A 19,936-nucleotide genomic window follows, 5' to 3' on the forward strand; every position below is an offset into this window, starting at 1 on the left:
TTGCAGCACTTACAAGACTTTCTGCTGTTTCTTGAAGAGGCCACTTCCTTCCACAGTCAGCACACAGTCCTCAACCTGCTCCGAGAGGGGGTTTGAAAATATCACCTGTATGGAGAGTGGCTGGTTCACAACGGCTGCTCCTAGAACCTAAACAGACCAGGAGGGGAAGGAGAATTAGTTCTCATTCCCCAACTCACCAGATATTTACGAAGGGCACCATTCTGTAAGGTGGCAGGATATGCCACCTCCAAATATGCCACTTTGGCATAAGAATTCTTTGAGCCGAAGACAATTGAGAAGAAGCAGATATAAGAAAAGCTCTCTAGTTTCCCTTTATTTGCCTAAAAGCAGGACATAAATTTACAAAGGTGTCCCCCCTCCCCTCTCTACCAGGAAGGACAAAGGCTGATCACCAGAGATGCCTTCAGACCTTTACGAGCCTGGAGAGGGCACCAGAGGAATCTACACAACAAACTTTCTAAGTTTTATCTACCATGAGTTTCCCATGTATTTGCCTTCCCAAAATTTGCCACCCCTTGAGACTCAAGGTCCTTTCCTTTTCTCTTGTCACTTCTCTAAAAACATATTGCTTCTTTGCTAAGATGCCACAAAAGCCCAAGTTCTAGCCAAACCTTCATGTTTCCCCACCGGAAGGGGCTCCATGGGCTTACTTAACAGGGTCTAGGAGGCTGGTTGACTTTGGGGAGACAGCACGGGAAGGAAGGGAGACCTTAAAATCTTCCCACTTGGAAGACCGCAGAATGTCAGAGCAGGCGGGGTCCTCAGAGGCCATCTAGCCTAATCCCCTCTCTAACAGTTCAAGAAACAGAGGCCCAAGGCCCTGTCCAAGGATACACAGCCAAAAAATGGCAAATCAAGTCTGAACTGACTTTCAGACAGGGCTCTCCCCCGACCAGAGACCCTCCCATCTGTGCTCACTTTCCTTATGTTGACCCATGGGGAAGGCCAACAGCAGGAGGGGCACAAGAGGGGGGTCTCTCCTATTGTCCATGGCACCTGCTCAAGGACCCATCCATAGGGCCTCTAGTGAGTGGTGCAAGAGGATGAAGATCTCTCAGACAAACTTCTCCCTCCTGGAGCACCAGAAGAGGCAAAGGAAGGAGGGGATGCTCTCCTAAGCAGGCCCAGGCTGCCCTCTCACAGGGCTTCACCCCCTCCCCGCCAGATCCAAGGAGCCCCACAAGCCATTTGCAGGACTCCTGCCTACATTAATCGTGATGCTTGGATAAGATAAGGTGATGATCTTGTTCACCAGGATTTTCTCAGGACTGCTTTTCTCTTCACCCAGGGCACTGATGCGGATCAGCTTGTCTGTTGACAGGTACTGGCTGTACTGGGAATAGGAGATTTTGCAGGGGTAGGTCTTTGCTAAAGAAAGAACACAAGGATGGGGTGAGAGTAGCTGAGAAAATCAGCCGTACCTGGGTTGGACCTGGGTCTCTCTTCCACAGAGAAGAGAAAGTCAACAAGTACCAAATCCCAGGGAAGCAGGTGGCAGCTTTTTAGATGAGGAAATGAGCTGAAAAGAGCCAAAATGGCTGCCCAAGGCCATTCTGCTAGGAAATGGGAGAGCTGAGGCTCCAACGAAGGTCTCAGAGACTCCAAATCTCAGGCTTTTTCTGCAAAACCAGCTACTTTTGTTGTGGTAGGAAAGGAGGAGGAAGAGAAAGGAGGGAGAGAGGAGATACAACGAAGGAAGGAAGAGAGGGAGGGAGGGAAGGAGGGAGGGAGGGAAGGAAGGAAGGAAGGAAGGGGGAAGGAGAAGAGGGAAGGAGGGGAATCGTGCCAGAGGGGACAGTAGAAATGATGGTGTCTCAGGGGTCTGCCCCCAGAACCCTGTTGGCTGGCTTGACCCCACTGACATTGCCAAAACCAACTCTGCGTACACAAACTGTGCACATGCGTACCTTCTTTAGGAGAGAGTGTGATGAACGCTGTGTCCTGCCAGAATGGGGACAGGGGGCTGCCATCGTGCAGCAGAGACTGGGCACTCAGGTTCACTTTGAGGTCCTTGAACTGGGAGGACATGTTGAGGGCCAGCAGGACAAAGCATATATCCTGGCCCATGTTGGGCGGGTCGAGCAGCTTGAATTTCAGGGAGACTTGCACCACATCACTGGGTCGAAGGGAAGGTGTATGCAGGCTCCGAGGGCTGTCCTGGCTCAGTGATGTGGGCCTGGAAGGTTGCAACTCTGCTCCTCTTTGGGAGCCATGGAAGCTTCTAGCCTTCAGCTTCTGCAGAGCCTTCAGAAACACCTGCCTCTCCTGGAGGGATCCTGAAGTTGGGGAGAGCACAGCACCAGCTGTGAGCCAGGCTGACCGGGGTAGACTGAGGCTGAGCGCCATCCCCCACCCAATATCTCCACCAACAACTTCAGGCCTTCACTCCCAGTAACAAGCACTCCCTCCACTCCTCATGTGCTTTCCCAGGCAGGCTCTGCTGGCCACTTCACACCCTTCCTCCTGTATCAACCACAAGCAAGGTGTATTACCATTAGCATTCTTCTTCTTCTTCTTCTTCCATACACAGATAAAGAAAAGGAGGCTAATGGAAGTCATGTCACCTGCCCAAGTCACACAACTAGTAAGGAGCAGATCCCAGGTGGGAAGCAAACCTGCCCAACTCTAAAACCCGTGCCTGTGACCGCTCAACTCTATCCTGATCTCCTCAAGGGAAAGATGAAGGCCCACAAATGCAGAGAAATAAACCTCATAAAGACAGCAGGGCATGGTGTGATGTCCTGTTCCAGAGCCAGATTATTGGTCAGGCATAGACTAATTCCTGGAAACTAAGGGAAAGGAGAAGCACAGTAAATAAGTAAATACATATGAGAGGAGGTCTAGGCGTGCAGAGTTCCCAGGGTGGCCCCAGCTTCCCTGCTCTATCCTGGGGGTCCCTGTGGGCCGCATGTGCAGGAATACTTGCCCACGCCTCATAATTCCAGAAGCTGCTTTTGTTGAGTACTTACTATCCCCAGGGACCAGCTCTACCCCTTCAATGCATTTGCCACAACTTCCTGAGGCAGAGGCCACTTTTATCCCCTTGCTCTGGGGTTCATTCTAAGGCCAGTTCCAGACAAAAGAGAATCTGGAGACATTTGCTTCAGTAAGAGTGGGCCCACAGGCTGAGGGCAGTGGCTCACACCTGTAATCCCACCACTTTGGGAGGCCAAGGAGGGTGGATTACTTGAGGTCTGGAGTTCGAGACCAGCCTGACCAACATGGTGAAACCCTGTTTCTACTAAAAATACAAAAAATTTAGCCAGGCATGGTGGCAGGCACCTATAATCCCAGCTACTTGGGAGGCTGAGACAGGAGAATTGCTTGAACCCAGGAAGCAGAGGTTGCAGTGAGCGGAGATCATGCTGTTGCCCTCCAGCCTAGGTGACAGAGCAAGACTCTGTCTCAAAAAAAAAAAAAAAAAAAAGAGTGGGCCCAGGAAGATGGGAATCTGATTTAGCGCATCTGCGGTCTGTGCGACCCCAGACCCTGTCAGGCTGGGTGGGAGAAGACTGAATACTGCTGGCCTGAGGAGCACCTAAGCAGGACACTCAGGTCCACTCGGGTATGGCTCCAATCCCCCTGAGTCCACAGGGGACCCCGTGGGCCTCTCTAGCAAATGCCATCAAAGCCCTGCCCATATTCCCTTGGCACTTGCCATTTCAGTGTCCACAGGCCCTACTTTTCAAATTGCAGCCCCTGCAACTCTGTCTGAGGTTTTCTCTGCTACCAGAGCAGACTCAGCTCATGCATGGGGCAGGCCAGAAGTGCTAAAGAATTTACATCCCCCAGGAACAGCCCTCAACTCATGACCAACAGGAGTTGATGGATAAACACCCTAGCCCCTGTGACTCTCTGGTGTGATAAATCAGCAGTATTGTTCTACACTTCACACCGAATCAGTGATAGGGTTGCCAGATTTAGCAAACAAAAATACAAGGCAATTTAATTTGAATTTCAAATAAACAACAAATAATTTGGGACAGCCTTTTTTTTTTTTGTTTAGAAATGAGGTCTCACTCTATTGCCTAGGCTGGAGTGCAGTGTTGCCATCATAGTTCACTGCAGCCTCAAATTCTGAGGCTAAAGTGATCCTCCCGTCTCAGCCTCCCAAAGTGTTGGGATTGCAGGTGTGAGCTTACAGCTCCTGGCCTGGGACAAATTTATGCTAAAGCATTATTTGTCCTTTATTTTCTCTGACAACCCCACTTCCAGAGCTCCCAGCCAGCTGTCACTGTGCTAACAGGCTTGAAAATGTACTCTTACATCCACTTCCTTCCCTTCCCTGTCTCCCTCACTCTGCTCCAGGATTTCCAGGATAGCCTAAAAAATAAACCACCTGTATTTGAATGCTTGCCTCAGGATCCATTTCTGGGGCAGCCCAGCCAAGATGAGGCCGGAGGCCCCAGGGAGTGGGTGGTGATGGCACTGCTGGGCTGTGTTCAACACTTGCCCCCTACTGCAAATCCCCTTCCCAGGTGGGGAATTCTGGAGCCTCCCTGCGTCTGTCCCCGAGGCCCACGTAGACGAACCACAGACACCCACTCACCAGCACTCCCAGCAACTGCTCAGCCCTCCCCACCGCCCTTCAGCCACCCTGCCTTGCACCTGCTCAGATCCTCCCCAGCCAGATCCCAGCTCTGGCCCTCACCCTGCCTCTGGCCCTCATGGACTGGATATTTTTGCCTGGCTCCCTGGTAATTGAACCTAGTGGCTGGCGCTTCTCAATGTCCAGGCATTCATCTATAGCTGACTAACACAGCCTCCCCTGTGACCCTGCTGCCAGGGCTGTCACCTCAGAGTCAGCCTCTGGCCGTGCCGTTCCCACAGGGAGGAGTGGTGGGAGTGAACATCTGGGCTCACTTCAGCCTGTCCTCCAAAGACTCAGTGAAACACAGTGAATTAAATAATACCCTAAATAAAATAAATGAATGGCAGAGTGTTTACTAAATTCCCTGCCATCTTCAGTGGGAGGCTGATTTTAGGGGGAAGCAGGGGTGAAGTATTCATATTCTGTTTGGGCTCCACGGTCCATGTCAGCGCCTTGTGGCGGGAGCTCGCTGGCCTGCAGGATGTGGGGTGGGGGTGTCATGAAGAAGTGAGGCTGTGAGGCCACCCCAACTGGGGCCTCAAAACTGAACAGCTGAGGAGACAGTGGGGCTGGGTCCTGCCTCGCAGATGCTCTCTGGCTCCCTGGGGTAGGGGAAGGTTCCTGCAGGGCTGGGGCTCTGAGTAGGGCTGGCTTGCTTACTTACCTTCTTCATACTTGTAGTTCTCTGTGATGTCATCCCGCTCGTCACTCTGGATGCTCTTTGTGCTGATAAAATTGCCAACAGAACTCGTGTCCTGGTGAAGCTTCTGCTCCTTCCCTCCCTGGACGAGCCAGGACATGCAGTCAGCATTCACCATCGAAAACACAAAGGGCGTGTCATAGTTCAGGTCCACTTCTCCTTCTTTGATGGCTCTGACAGAGGCAGGGCCACAGCAGTAGACGCCTGAAGGAGAACAGGGGAGCCTCGGTGGGCTGTTTGTTGCAGGGCTGGGCAGGGGTGGGGTGCTTTCCACGGGAGCGGGGCCTGCCTTTCTTCTGGAGAGCCTCACCGTTGCTCATCTCCTGAGGTGTGGCGTCCAGCACCTGCCAGCCTCCATATGCAGGGGGCAGATCCTTCCGGGCCATCCAGCACTCATTCCAGACATGGAAGTTCCTGTGTCAAACAGAGCCAAGGGAGACGTTGTACTGCTTGGTCTTTCTAGAACAAGGCAAGGGAGGGATGAGCAAATGAACTGTTGGATAGAAAGACAGACTTAGCACACACAGGGCTTAAAACCTCTGTGGATAGCCAGGCACGATGGCTCATGCCAGTAATCTTAGTACTTTGGGAGTCTGAGGTGAGAGGATTGCTTGAGCTCAGGAGTTCAAGATTAACCTGGGCAAAAAAGGAAGATCTCGTCTCAAAAAAAAAAAAAAATTAACTAGGCATCATGGCACATGCCTATAGTCCCACCTACTTGGGAGGCTGAGGTGGAGGATCACTTGAGCCTGGGAGATCAAGGCTTGACCTTGATCATACCACTGTGCTCCAGCCTGGGCAGCAAAGCCAGACCTTGTCTCAAAAAAGTAATTAATTAGTGACAGGTCTTCCTCTTGTGGACCTCTCTTTGCCTCCCAGAAAAGAGTCTCCCTCTGCGGACTCAGCTTGTGAACAGAAAGTGAAGGCTTCCAGAGTCCACTGAAGTTAAAAATCCTTCACTGTCTCATGAAACAGTCTTTGTGGCCCCTTTGTGTGCGTTGATGACTCACAGAGGCACTCGTGGTCTTTGTATTCGGAGGTAAGGCCGTCCTGTGGTCAGAACTGTTGGGACTCAGGAAACAATACTCCAAAATGAAGGTCTCAGAAGCAGAAGTGTTTTTTTGGACCTTTTCCTGTCTTCCTGTCTCTCAGTCTCATTTACCCCCATGGCTAGGCATAGAAATTAAAATCTCGCCTCCCCAAGGTGGGAAGGTCATGGAAACCAGAACCCCTTTTCCCCAAAGGCAGTCTTAAAACCTAAAAATATTACCCTAGCTTTCCTTCTGCCTTTTTGTATAAAAACTGGCCATAAAAAATTTATCTGACCTACCTTGTTTGACTGTAGGTCAAAAAACCCTCATTCTAGAGAGGGTTCTGCCCCATATTGGGAAGGAAGGAACTCATGCTCAGAGAGGCCAAGCAGAATGTAGACAAACAGGGCTGGGTTTCCCCACTCAGTCTATTACCATTAGGTCATACCATTTGTCCAAGCAGATTTCTACATGGCTGTCCATACTCTGTTAGACTAAGCATAAAAATGGACAATTTCCCCTGTATCTTTGGGTCTTCATTCTGAAGGCTCCTGTATATACGTTAATTAATGTGTATGCCTTTTCTCCTATTGATCTGATTTTGTGAGTTGATTTTTTTTTTTTAAACAAACCTTCAAAGGGCAGTGGGGAAATTTTCTCCAGGCCCCATAGAGCCAGGAGGTTCTGTGATGGAGGTGACAAAGATGAAAACCTCAACCCAGGGCAGAACACTCTTATGATATGAGACTTCTAAACCCCAAATGGGCTTTGTTCAGATGTCTCCCAGCTGAAGATTGGCAAGAGGTGTGGGGACAGCCTTGGTGGGGGGTGGGTGGGGGAGGGTGAGGGGGTGTGGAGGAGGTGAAGGGGAGGGACCAGGCTCATGGACCTCGTTCTGCCCTTCCTCCTGCCATGGGGCTTGGCTCTGATGTGTGGCCCTAGAAATAGGTTGAGAGGTTGTTTCTCACCAGATAGTATCCTTCTTCTTATTCCCCAAAATCCTGCCTGTGTTGTCATAATACTCATCTATGATCAGGTTTCCATCTGTATCGTGGCCAGAGTCGAAGTTGGTGATCACACGGGTAGGGATCCCCAGACACCTCATCACTGCAAAAAGGGCACAAAAAAATCACCTGTGAGCTGTAGATTCCGGACCCGTATATTCCTGGACTTTGGGGCCTGGACCTGGGGAAATCTTCCATTTGCCATCTGCAGGAACATGCTGGAGCTGTCTGGAACACTGGAATAGTGATATTTCCAACTTCCTTCCCCACTTCTGGAGCTCATGGGAGAGATTCTAGGCAAAGGTGGGGATGCTGACTGCTCAGACAAGCACTGCCTGAGCCAGTAAAGTCTAGCAAGCTGTGAGCTCTGCTTACGCCAGGAGGGTGGGACTGGCAAGCCTTTCCTTTGGCAAAACTCAGAGGCCTGACTCAACTGCATTTCTCTTCTGGCCCTAAATCTCCATCTTCAAGCCAAAGCTGGAATTCCATTCCTTTCTGTAGTTAGGATTATTGCTTCAGACCATCAGATTCTCAAGCAAAATATTCTGTGGCTTTGATTCCCCCTTTTCCTGGGTATATGATCTTGGAAGCCTCTCTAGAAAAGCATCATAGATTAAGCCAAGAGGAAAGAAAACCATGTAACAAGAGCTTAGAAAAGTGAGAGTTTCTACCTGGTAGAGAAATTCTTGAAAGAAGGTAGAGTGTTGTCTTTATTCCTGGGGGCCATGCATTCTGTTTGCCAGCCAACTTCCTTTCTTTATCCTCTGCTGTATTTCCATTCTGTGCTTTTTATTTTTTTTGAAGTCAAAAAAATCGCACTCCAGCCTCCTCCTCCTCCCGGGTTCAAGCAATTCTCCTGCCTCAGCCCCCTGAGTAGCTGGGATTACAGGCACACAACACCACACCCGGCTAATTTTTTTTTTTGTATTTTTAGTAGAGACGGGGTTTTACCATGTTGGCCAGGCTGGTCTCGAACTCCTGACCTCAAGTGATCCGCCTGCCTTGGCCTCCCAAAGTGCTGGGATTACAGGCGTGAGCCACCGCGCCCGGCCTCTGTGCTCTTTTAAGTACAGGAAAATCTGACCATGAAATGCTCTGGGGATTCCTGTCCCTTCATGTCCAGCAATGACAGTCCACTCAATCTAATAATGACAATAATAGTATCTACCAGCTGGGCATAGTGCTAAATGCTTCACACATAGTATCCTTAAACAACTCTATCTGATGGCTACTATTATTATCTCCATTTTGAAGACAAAGAATCAGAGGCTAAGAAAGTTTGCTACCTTGACCAAGGTCACACAGCTAGTAAGAGGCAGAGCTACCACTAAAATCCTGGTTTCACTGCTAAGCTTGCAATCAATACTGAGTCCAGCTTTTGGTAGTATGCATACAGTTCAGCATCTTAGTGTTTTTACCTAATTTTACATCCTAAGCATTTTCCTATTTTATCGAATATTTGCCGAAAGCAAGATTTTAGTGGTGATTATTTTGAAACATTTAGTTGGTTTTCAATTTTCCCCCTGTTGTAAATACTGTGATAAATACCTTTGTAGATCAATATCCCCCCTCCCCTGGGACATATTCTAAGGGGTAAAGTGACTGAGTCAAAAATATGGTTATTTCTAAGGGTTCTTCACACACACTACTGTCATTTCTTAAAAGTTTATAATTTTTAGTTTAAACATTTAATTGTGTACAGATTTTAGCTCACCCTCTTCTTATTCTGCACTTTGACACAGAGCCTCTCCAGGCCAGGGTGGGGACAGGCCTCTGGATGCGACCAGAAAAGGGAGGGGAGAAGCCCAAAGGGAGCCTTGAGCTCGCGTGGCAGGTTTGAACAGGGCTGAAGAACTAGGGCAGGTGGTGGGTAGAGCTGACAAGTGGGTTGTAGGTGGAGGTGACACAGGACAGCTGCAGAGGTGAGGCTGAAGTTTGAAAAGCTGTCACTGAAGGACCCTGAGACAGCAGTGAGGCAAGAGAGCAGCATTGCAGGGGCGCATTTATGCTAAAAGTACAGTCAGGAGGGTGGATGACACTCACAGTGACAAGAAAACGTGCCAAAGAAGAGGGCAGGGAGGGAGAGCAGGGAGCAAGCCTCCCCCTGCCCTTCACCCAGATGGATGAGTTCATGAGTGGCCACCTGAAGTGTCAATAGTGGTGTCAACTCCTGCTAAACATGACTCGATGGGCACTTTCCCACCCTAACACAGGTAACTGGTCCTGAAGCACTTTGAAGTTCTCCATTAACCAGAGTATGAGGCTTGTAATGAATTGTTTATGAGTCTGTCTTCCTGAGGGCAGGGATTGTGTGTTATTCATCTTTATCATTACTCAACCATTAACAATACAGGGCAAGGCCCATTTTGCATCTTGCTGCATCTTTGCTGGATGGATGGATGAGTGGTGTCTTGTGAATCTTTTGCCTGTTCTGGTGATTTCTGAGTTCAACTCACCACTATCCTGATGGTTGTGGGATATGCTTTGGGTACCAAGCTCAACTGTCCGTAGAGCATAAGCTTTGAGTGGTGATGGATTTGCACTGATCCAGTCTCACCCTTTGCTCATCATGGCTTGTGAGAGGACTTGGATGGGGAGCAGATTGTCACAGTAGAACAGAATGAAGTTACAGAGGGGCAAGAATGGTTTCTTACATAGGGGGTGAAGCCAAGGCATCAGCTTCAAGGCACTCAGATCTGTTCACCAGAAGTCATGCACATACATGTTTCCAGGGGCCTTGCTCCAGAGCTCTGTCCTTCTGGTTCTGTCCTCCCACAAAGAGCTCATCCCGACTATGGCTTTCTCTCCCACTTCTGTGCCCAGGACTCTTGAATTTGAATCTTGAGCCTGTCTAGAGACCTTGCTGTCACTGAACACATCCCTTACTGAACTTATTGTCTTCCAGCCTTCTCGGTCTTCCTTTCTAGTCAAGGACATCATCATCATCATAGGTACCAGGCATGGTGCCAAGCACTGCACAAGGATTATCTACCTTAGTCTTCTTCATACCCATATGATTATCCCAACTTTAAAGATGAGACACCTGAAGTTTAGAGAGGTAAGGTCACAGGGCAGGAAGAGAAAAACCAGGGCAGGACATAAACCCATGTCTCTCTGATCTCAAAGCCTCTCATGCTTTTAACTGCAGGCCACAACACTGTAACTCCATTGGACATCCCAGCCACACCTCAGTCTCAATGCACCTTCCTCTGTGAAGTTTTCACCAATGACTCCACACCGCACTCATCCCTTCTCATGCTCTCACATAACCCTGATCGCCTGTGTCACACATTTCAGCACTGGATTCGGCTCTCTGTAATTTAATGTGTCTGTCTTACCTTGTCTGCCAAATTACAAATCCCCCTAGAGTTGAGCTCATATAAGACTTTTCTTGCATTTCTACATTCCTAGTACAAGGCTGGGCACAGGGTAGGTGCTCATTATATTCCTGTTAAAGTGAGGCACCTTTAACCTGTTTCTGCAGACTATCAGTCCTGATGACTCACAGTTTGACATGAGATTTAGGTGACCTGTCACTGATGATTTTGTGGGATCTGAGTCCCTCGTGAAAGAGAAACCCATGTGTGGCATCTGTGCTTATGGACATGCATACACTACATGCACTGATGCAGTGACAACTGGGCAAAGGTGAACGAGATCTCAGAGTTGGGAAGGGACCACAGAGTTATCAAGGTATATCACACTGCATTCTCAGCATTAGTAATTACATTTCTTCATTCAGCCATTTAGTAGTCATTCAGTGATAAGTGTTGAGACCAGGTAGTCAATTAGATGAAGAGGATACAAAAATGAAAGACATTCCTGCCTTCGAGGAATACAATTTCACTTGACTGGTAGTGGACCATGTCCTAATGGTGTATTAAAATGATGAGTATGGGGCCAGGCACAGTGGCTCAGGCTGGTAATCCCAGCACTTTGAGAGGCCAAGGAGGGAGGATTGCTTGAGCCCAGGAGTTTGAGACCAGCCTGGGCAACATAGTGAGACTTCACCTCTACAAAAAAATAAAAAAATTGGCCGGGTATAGTGGCACATGCCTGTGGTCCCAGCTACTCAGGAGGCTGAGGCAGGAGAATCGCTTGAGCTCAGGAGGTTGAGGCTGCAGTGAGCCATAATGGCGCCACTGCACTCCAGCCTGGGTGCTCCAGCCTGGGTGACAGAGTGAGATCCTGTCTAAAATAAAATAAAATAAAATATCTAGTATGTTTCAGGACTGGCTGTAAAGCTCTTTTTGCTGCAATGTGGAATGTGGCCCTAATTTTATAAGAAAATTCAGTGGAAAGTTAGAGTTCAATTTATTGAAATGCATTCAGTTAGCTTTACTGCCACACTCCCATAGCTTTTATCGAGAAATGTGGCCAAAACTCCAGCTCTTAGAGTCAAAGTAATTGAGTATAAATGTGATGACTTTTATCACCTTTTAATTTCTCCCTGAACGCATTAAGCTTCCAAATGATAAATATATCACTTCCTGCTCTTTATCCCATGCCTTTAATCGTCCCTTATAACCAAGATGATCATATTGCTTTGGTCTTTCAGATATGCCATCACTAATCATATTTGAACTGTTCTCTCTCACCTGTAATGGCAAGGAAATGAAATCTTATTTGTTTCCTTAATAGTACCTTAAGTATGCAAAGGTATACCATCTGTTTTCCATGATAATCTCCGGTCTTCTAGCCTGCACTAAGACAGGGCCCTACCAAAATTATTTTTTGATAAGGGGGTGGGGGCAATTAAGAACTGAACCCTCGTCATCGAAGTGCAATAACCTGTTACTCAAGAAGTACAAATGAGCACTGTTTACAGAGAAATAGGAAATGGAAACAAGGATATCAACCTTGAAGGAGCAAAGCACAGCATGTAGGACCTGGGTCATGTATTAGATGAAAATGGCAGCGCAGAAGATGGCACTGGGCAGTTGCCATGGAGCTGTGAGACCTGCTCTGTGGCTCTGTGGCAGATTTGTAAGGGTTATCTGTGTGTGTGTGTTGGGGGGGGGGGTCTTAAATGGCAAAAAAGGCCCCTTCACAATGAGCACTACAATCTACTCCCTCCATCCTCACACAAGTCAGTCTCCTGGACCAACAGAGAAAAGACAAAAATTTCAGCTGCTTGTGTGGGGATGGACAATCAGAAGACTGCTTTAAAAGACCTCTAGTCAAAATGTTTAATATGAATATTTTATATCTAACTTCCAGTTGCAAAATACAAAGAACAGAGGCATAAGACCAACAATACAATGAAGCCCTCGGGCAAGTCTAAAAGGTAGAGTTGTGCAGGACAACTGTCTCAGTGTCTTCAAAAAAGTCACATATTGAATTAAAGGATCTCTTTGATATTAAAGGAGACACAGAGGACATTGCAATCAGGTGCAATGTTTGGTTCCTAATTAGATCCTGATTTGGACAAACTGACTGTACAGACACAGCCTGTAGCCTCGTCCCCCGCCACTTCATGCTAGCAAAGACTGAACCATCTCAGCCAGGCATCAAGGTCAACATCAACAGTGATAAGTCGTATTGACAGCAGGCACCCTTGATATTATGTGAGCAGGAAGCACTACTTTTGTTGTCTTCCTCCCCAAAATACATACTTCTAGTATGATCATGAGAACAATAACAGACAAATCGCAATTGAGGAACTTCCTAGAGCAGCATCCAGGCCACAACACAGGCTCGGGAAGCCCAGAAAGAACTCAGCAGTCTTAACAAGTTAACGAGATGAGATCACAATTGAGGGAAGCTAAGATGGCTCAAATTTGCAGGATGGAGTGTATGGAGGGGAGAGAGCTGAACAGAGAGAGTATTCCAGAGATCTGCAGAGGGGTCTTTCAAGTCTTTGGCTGAGTGGTAATCTGTGCAAGCATGGGGATGAAATTCCAGGAGGCCAGATAAAGCAATAGAGTGGAGACGCCTCATAATACATAGGGCATTTGATAAGAGTCTTCAGAAGAGGCATGACTTAGTAGTGGGGCTAAATTAAGCTTAGGGTAAAGACTGCTCTGGAGCCATCATAACAAAGCTTAAAAGCAAACCTCAAGGAGTTTGAGACCAGCCTGGCCAACATGGCGAAACCCTGCCTCTACTAAAAGAACAAAAATTAGCCGGGCGTGGTGTTGGGTGCCTGTAGTCCCAGCTACTCAGAAGGCTGAGGCAGGAGAATAGCTTGAACCTGGTAGGTGGAGGTTGCAGTGAGCTGAGATTGTGCTGCTGCACTATAGCCTGGGCGACAAGAGCGAGACTCTGTCTCAAAAAAAAAAAAAAAAAAAAGCAAACCTCCAAAAGCTCAAATTAATCTGCAAGGAATTTGTTATTGCTGTACCACACAAAGTCCTTTAAAGGAATAAAACAAAATCCAGTTATCAACAGCATAACACAATAAAAAATGGGCAAGCATGCAAAGAAACAGAAAAATATGACCCATAGCCAGTAGAAAAATTAATCAATAGAACCAGATTCAGAAATGCCAGAGACAATGAAATTAGCACTGAGTGACGAATCATCCATACTCCAAACTTCAGCATCATGTAATATACCCACATAACACACCTGCACAGGTACCCCCGAATCTAAAATAGAAGTTGAAATTATTTTTTAAAAAGCTGACCTCAAAAAAAAAAGGAGACAAGGACCTCAAAGAGCTATTTTAAATATTATAAATATGCTCAAAATGCCCAAAGGGAGTTATAGAAAAACAAAAACATAATGAGAAGAGAAATGGAAGGTAAAAAAAAAAAAGACTCAGTGGAACTTCTAAAGATGAAAAATACACACGGGTCCAAGTGCAGTGGTGTTTACAACTAATTCATCACAACAAGTTACAGATTTCTTTGTTCCTTTTCCATTCCCACTGCTTCACTTGACTAGCCCTAAAAAATAAACAAAAATAAAACTATATACATATGCATGCAAAAGACAAATACAATAGATGAAACCAAAACCATACTGAATAAAATACTGCACAAAGATAATAATATGATTTTTTTGCGAAAACACATCCAACTACAGTGCTACATATTAAACACATTAAAATGTTTCCCTATCATGCAGAGAGGTGAATGGAAGTGGGCTATGAGATAAAAGGGGGAAATTAATTTTAATAAGAAGGGCCTTTTACAAAGAGGGGCCTGAGCAGACCAATTATGGTAAGTGCCATGAAATGAGGAATATAGTTAACTCTAAACATTCCAAGAAAGAAAGGAAATAAAAGGGAAAAAAAGTGGGAGAGAGGGGAACTGAAGTTTCAGGGATAGCTAGAAACAACTTTTTTATTTATTTTTATTTTTTGAGACAGAGTCTTGCTCTGTCACCCAGGCTGGAGTGGCCTGATTTCAGCTCACTGCAAGCTCCACTTCCCAGGTTCATGCCATTTTCCTGCCTCAGCCTCCTGATTAGCTGGGACTACAGGAACCCACCACCACGCCCAGCTAATTTTTTGTATTTTTAGTACAGATGGGGTTTCACCATGTTAGTCAAGTTGGTCTCGATCTCCTGACCTGGTGATTCCCCTGCCTCGGCCTCCCAAAGTGCTGGGATTACAGGCATGAGCCACTGCACCTGGCCGAAACAACTTTTGAATAAGACCCAGCCAAAGCCCTGGAGCCCAAGAGGCAGAGATTAAAACAGTACCAGACTAATTATAATAGCTAACATTTAGATAAAACTTATGGGCCAGACATCTTTCTATCTACTCTCCATGTATTAGTCAACAACCTTACGAGGGAACATTCCGTACTATCTTATGTCAATGGAAATCAATGGAAAATAAGAAAGGTTTGTGTTTAGTCCAGGGCACTGCACAAAAGAGTTTGAACTGGGATCTAAGAAAAGGCTGGGGTATGCACCAGGGCCTTGGCTGCAGTTCCTTCTTTGAGACTTAAGGGTAAAAACAATGAGAACAAGAGTTATTGTATTGAAATGAAGATGAGATACGTTTTAAAGGCCCCTACATAATTGAGTTAGAAAAATCTTAGATAATATCTAGCTCAGGGGTTTTCAAAAAAGTATTAAGCAGAGGGCCCTATATGCAAACCAATCATAAGTGAGGATTTGATGTATAAAAGACATGCAAGTTGGGTTGCTTTAGTTTAAGAGGGCCCAGTCCCAGTCCCAACCAGGCAGCCTCCCATCGCCCACACCCTTTCCTACCTCCCCTTCCCCTTACAGCCCCTGGGACCTTGGACCTTATTTTACAGAAGAGGGATGATGCTGTACACCTGCTTACGGTCACACATTAGTACCTCCCAACCCTCAGCCCAAGTCATTGCTGTCCCCTACCCCACTTCCAACCCCAGGCAGTTATGGACAAGAATAGACCAGGCATATTCCCAGGATGCCTGGCTTCTTCTCAAATAATTTTCTTGAGATATAATTCACATACCATAAAGTTCAGCCTTGTAAAGTGGACAGTTCAGTGGTTTGTAATACAGTCACAGGTTGTACAACAATCTTTACTGTCTAACTCCAAAACATTTTCACCTCAAAAGGAAACCTCATTACATTAGCAGTCACTCCCAACTATCCCCTCCTCCCAGCCCTAAGCAACCACGCTCTACTTTCTATCTCTATGAATTTGCCTGCTCTGGACATTTCATATGTATGAAATTATACACTATGTGGCTTTTTCACAGCTGGCTTTTGGGGAGTTTTCAGGCAACAGAACATCACTGTCCCCTCTGTACTCTTGCTATCGTGAAAGGCATCCAGGCTACTTCCCAGACCTCAGCCGAGGGCTGAGGGTTCCAATCTTGTCAAAGAGTGAAAGGCCAGAACAGGAAGAGCCTGAGGGCCTAGAACTCCAGGGTGCCTGGCCCTGGGCACAGAAAGGGTAGGCCAGGGAGTTCTCTAAAATTCTCAAGTAACAGGCAACTAAATGGATGTGCAAAAACTATAACCTCATCTTTGAGGCACGCAAAGCCTCCTTTTGTGGTTTTTCTATGGGAAGTTGAAGTCAATGTGTCAACGTGTTGAAAGGCCACACTGGGAGGCAGGGCCGTAGAGGGGAGATGCATGTCTGAGTCAGACCAGAGTCCCTCAGTCACTTTAAGCCTGCTTCCTCATCTGTGAAATGGCTATAATGATATATCGACTTTGCAGGTGGTGGTCAGGATTAGTAAAAGTGAAAGCGTCCAGTGTGTTCCTGAGGGACTTGGTGCTGGATTAATGGCAGCTGCTAGCAATGTTCATGAGGTGGTATGGCCTGATGGTTAGCACATGGCTTACAGAGCCAGCCAGACTTGGGTATGAGACTGGCTCCACCACTCAATTTCCTCTTCTGAAAAATGGAGATGATAGGTCCCACCTCATAAGGTCATTTAGGGGATCAGACAAGAGGACCCTAACTGATGCTTCCTGAACACTCACTATAGCCAGGCACTATTCTAAGCACTCTCCAGTATGAAGTCACTCAATCCCTTCAATAATCCTATGAGGTAGGTACCACTACTTTCCCCATTGTACATCTGAGGAAACTGAGGCACAAGTTAAATGACTTGCCCAAGGTTACTCAGCCAATTAATGGTAGTGCTGGTATGCAACCTCACGCATCTTGCCTCCAGAGTCCACAAGCTTCTCCACTACTCTAGGCTGTCAGGGTTTTAGCACAGTGCCTGGCACAAAGGAAGTCCCCAATAAACATTAGTTACTATGGCTATGAAATAATAACATATATATTTTCAAAAAACATGCTTTGGGAACTGTTTGAGGTTAAGGAGTTTGACTAAATCTTTAATTTTAACTTTGGTTGAAGACAGAAGCTGGGTCTTACCCATCTTGTATCCAAGAGCTCTTGGAACACAGTGAGTGCCTGGTGTAGAATAAGGACTCAGTAAGTATTGCTGTGAAGGGATGAGTTTTTCAAACTGCTGTATTTCTTAATTTATAACATGGTAGCTCTTTGGGGGAAGGTTAGTGCTGATTGAGCTACAGGGGACTGGGCCACGTTTGACCTACTTTGACCAACCCTTTGTTTTCCAGGCCACTAAAGGGCCATGATTCTCACAAACATGTTAATTGGTCTACTGTCATTGCATAATCTCCATTCACTGGCTCCACTTCTCTCATCACGCAGTTCCAGACAACCACACCCAAACCTGGCTCACTCCTTCTACACACACATACCTGGCCCATTAGATGCTAGGCTTTTCCACACACTGGAAGGTTCTCTCTCTATCTTATACAAGATCTAGTCTCTACCTGTCAGTCTTGTGCTTGCTTCCTGAAGGACTCAGTCCTCTCACTTCACCCAAATATTCATGACATGGAGTCTCAAAGCTGTGGAATTCCTTGTTTCTTATACCTGGGCACTCAACTCATCCAACTCAACTCATCCAACTCAAGAGCTGGCTCTGCAGCTGCAGAGGAGTAATCTTGGGGCTTACTGATCATTCTCATCAACTGTGCAAAGTCACTCTCTCTCGGTGGCAACACCTCCTCGTGCCCTTGGACAGATGCCTGGGGCTCTCTGAGCTTCCTTCAGGGAAGTTGCATTCTTCCAACAGCCCAGAGATGGGCCTGGCACATATATGCACACGAAATGCAACAAACTTTGTCACACACAAAATTCTACCCAGAAGGCCTGAGCCCCCAATAAACACCAAGCTATGGGCAGATCTGGTATTCTTGGATTCCCCTAAAGAATCCTGTGAGCGAAAACCTTGCTTGGCTTCTCTCCCCAGCTTAACACAATAAATAACCTTCTGATCGCCACCCAAATCAGAATGCGCAAGCCAAGAGGCCGAGAGCAGGCCTGGGTGTGGGGCAGGGTGAGGGTGAGGACCCGGAGCAAGTGCTTGGCCCTGGGTGAGGCAGAAGGCCTCCTCCTTTCACCTCCATGTGTGACTCATTTCCAAGTATCACTCCCCTCATGATTTCCTCCTCATCTCCTCCTCTTGTCACCCACAAACCAACTTCCATTTGCCATCTTTTCCACATATGTATTTTTTAGTTTTTCCTCTACTAATGTAGTATCCATTCCTTATCTGAAAAGCTGACCTCACATTTTCTTCCTTCCCCTAACCCTCTGGCCAGAGTCAGGCTATCAGGCCCTCAACAACTCCAAATTCAAGGTCATTTCCCTTGGGTTGCCATCTTGCTCTGGCCCCATGGCCCACACCACAGCCCTGACTCACGTTTCCCTTCCATGTACACATCTTCATTGAGCCCATTCTCTGTGCTCAGAAAGGACACTAATCAGTTTGTAGTTTCCTAATTACTCAGCCTCTCATCTCATTTCTGTCTTGAACCTAGACAGTTCCCAGCCAAGCTCTTAGGAATATGCTGGTAAGTTGCCTAAGCTTAGACGAAGCAAGGGTGTCAGGCGTCCTGGGACGTGTGACTGTCACTTCGGAACCATGGTCTGACATAAGCCCAGACATGTGCAGTCTGAGGTCCGTGATGAGACACTTTATTTTTTTATTTATTTTTTGAGATGGAGTCTCACTCTTGTCACCCAGACTGGAGTGCAGTGGCGTGATCTTGGCTCATTGCAACCTCTGCCCCCCCGGGTTCAAGCAATTCTCCTGCCTCAGCCTCCCGAGTAGCTGGGATTACAGGTGCCTGCCACCGTGCCCTGCTAATTTTTGTATTTTTAGTAGAGACGGGGTTTCACCATCTTGGCCAGGCTGGTCTTGAACTCCTGACCTTGGGATCCACCCACCTCGGGCTCCCAAAGTGCTGGGATTACAGGTGTGAGCCACCGTGCCCGGCCGAGACATTTCAGAGAGGAAAAGGGCTTCCTTCCAAATGTCCCTTGGTGGGAACTGTGTGGGACTGGGATGGGAATGGTTCAGAAGGCTCATACATGAGCGGCTATACTTCTGACCTTTTTGTGGGGTCCTTTCTACCTCCTACCTGTGCACATGACGGCAGCAAAGACCCAGCATTGCCCGTAGCGCACGGGCTGGCAGCCTGTGGCGTTCCACTGCTTCAGGATGGCCACGCTGCCCGTCCACTCCGCAGGGTTGGCGCCGTCTGTGTAATTCTCACTCCAGTTTCCATTGAGCACCCCATTATCATCATTGCTGTTGATCTGAAGAGAAGCCATATAGAGAAGTGTTAGAAACATCCATTTCCTCAACATGCCATGTGTGGGCTGCCTTGGAAGACCCATGGGCCTGAGAAACAGAGGAGAGACTTTTGACAGCATTTTACTGTGGACTTCCAGACCTGCTGGGGAGGGCTAAGGATGGGGGTTGACTCTTCTGACTTCTGCTCCACTGTGAATTAGTTTATTATTATGTTCCTATCTACCCCTTACCCATGTCCTCCCATCCCCTGCAAAGCTGGAGCTTACCTCTGAGAGCTTTAAAAAACACTTCAGAAAAGAGGAAATTTAGAAACAACAAGACCATTTCCCAAACTGGAGCTACACTCACCCTTTCTCAAAACATGCAATTTGGAATTAATAGAGGTGATGACCCACACCCAGCTATTTCAGAGCTCGGCTGAGAAAACTTGTCACCCACATTCTGGCGTCAGTCTCATCCAAGATGGCTTTGCCAGAGGGTCCCTCTTTCACCCACTGCAGGGGGCAACTGTGAGTGGGCAGGGCTCCCGCTGCACAGCTTCC

The 19,936-nt window shown here is 47.2% G+C and overlaps 1 protein-coding gene across 3 annotated transcripts in view, besides 1 other annotated feature; it reads right to left on the bottom strand.

Annotated features, from left to right (window-relative positions):
- Window positions 1-19,936, bottom strand: part of TGM5 (transglutaminase 5) — a 34,339-nt gene that overhangs the window by 951 nt on the left and 13,452 nt on the right. For 2 of the 3 annotated variants that reach the window (NM_004245.4, NM_201631.4), the window contains 7 exons: window positions 19,219-19,396; window positions 7,312-7,450; window positions 5,623-5,726; window positions 5,277-5,516; window positions 1,929-2,297; window positions 1,229-1,389; window positions 14-147 (listed from right to left, as the gene is read on the bottom strand). In NM_004245.4, the coding sequence (NP_004236.1) occupies window positions 14-147; window positions 1,229-1,389; window positions 1,929-2,297; window positions 5,277-5,516; window positions 5,623-5,726; window positions 7,312-7,450; window positions 19,219-19,396 (1,325 nt within the window). Of the gene's footprint in view, window positions 1-13; window positions 148-1,228; window positions 1,390-1,928; window positions 2,298-5,276; window positions 5,517-5,622; window positions 5,727-7,311; window positions 7,451-7,476; window positions 7,681-19,218; window positions 19,397-19,936 lie in introns of those variants that run through there. The other variant, XM_011522230.3, reaches the window with a different exon arrangement.
- Window positions 16,136-16,415: an enhancer, noted in NCBI's record as "active region_9311". NCBI's record gives its function as "activates an Ori minimal core promoter by ATAC-STARR-seq in GM12878 lymphoblastoid cells {active_cell/tissue: GM12878}" and the evidence as "EXISTENCE:reporter gene assay evidence [ECO:0000049][PMID:35858748]".

Source organism: Homo sapiens, chromosome 15 (assembly GCF_000001405.40).
Source record: "Homo sapiens chromosome 15, GRCh38.p14 Primary Assembly".
NCBI classification, from domain to species: domain Eukaryota; kingdom Metazoa; phylum Chordata; class Mammalia; order Primates; family Hominidae; genus Homo; species Homo sapiens.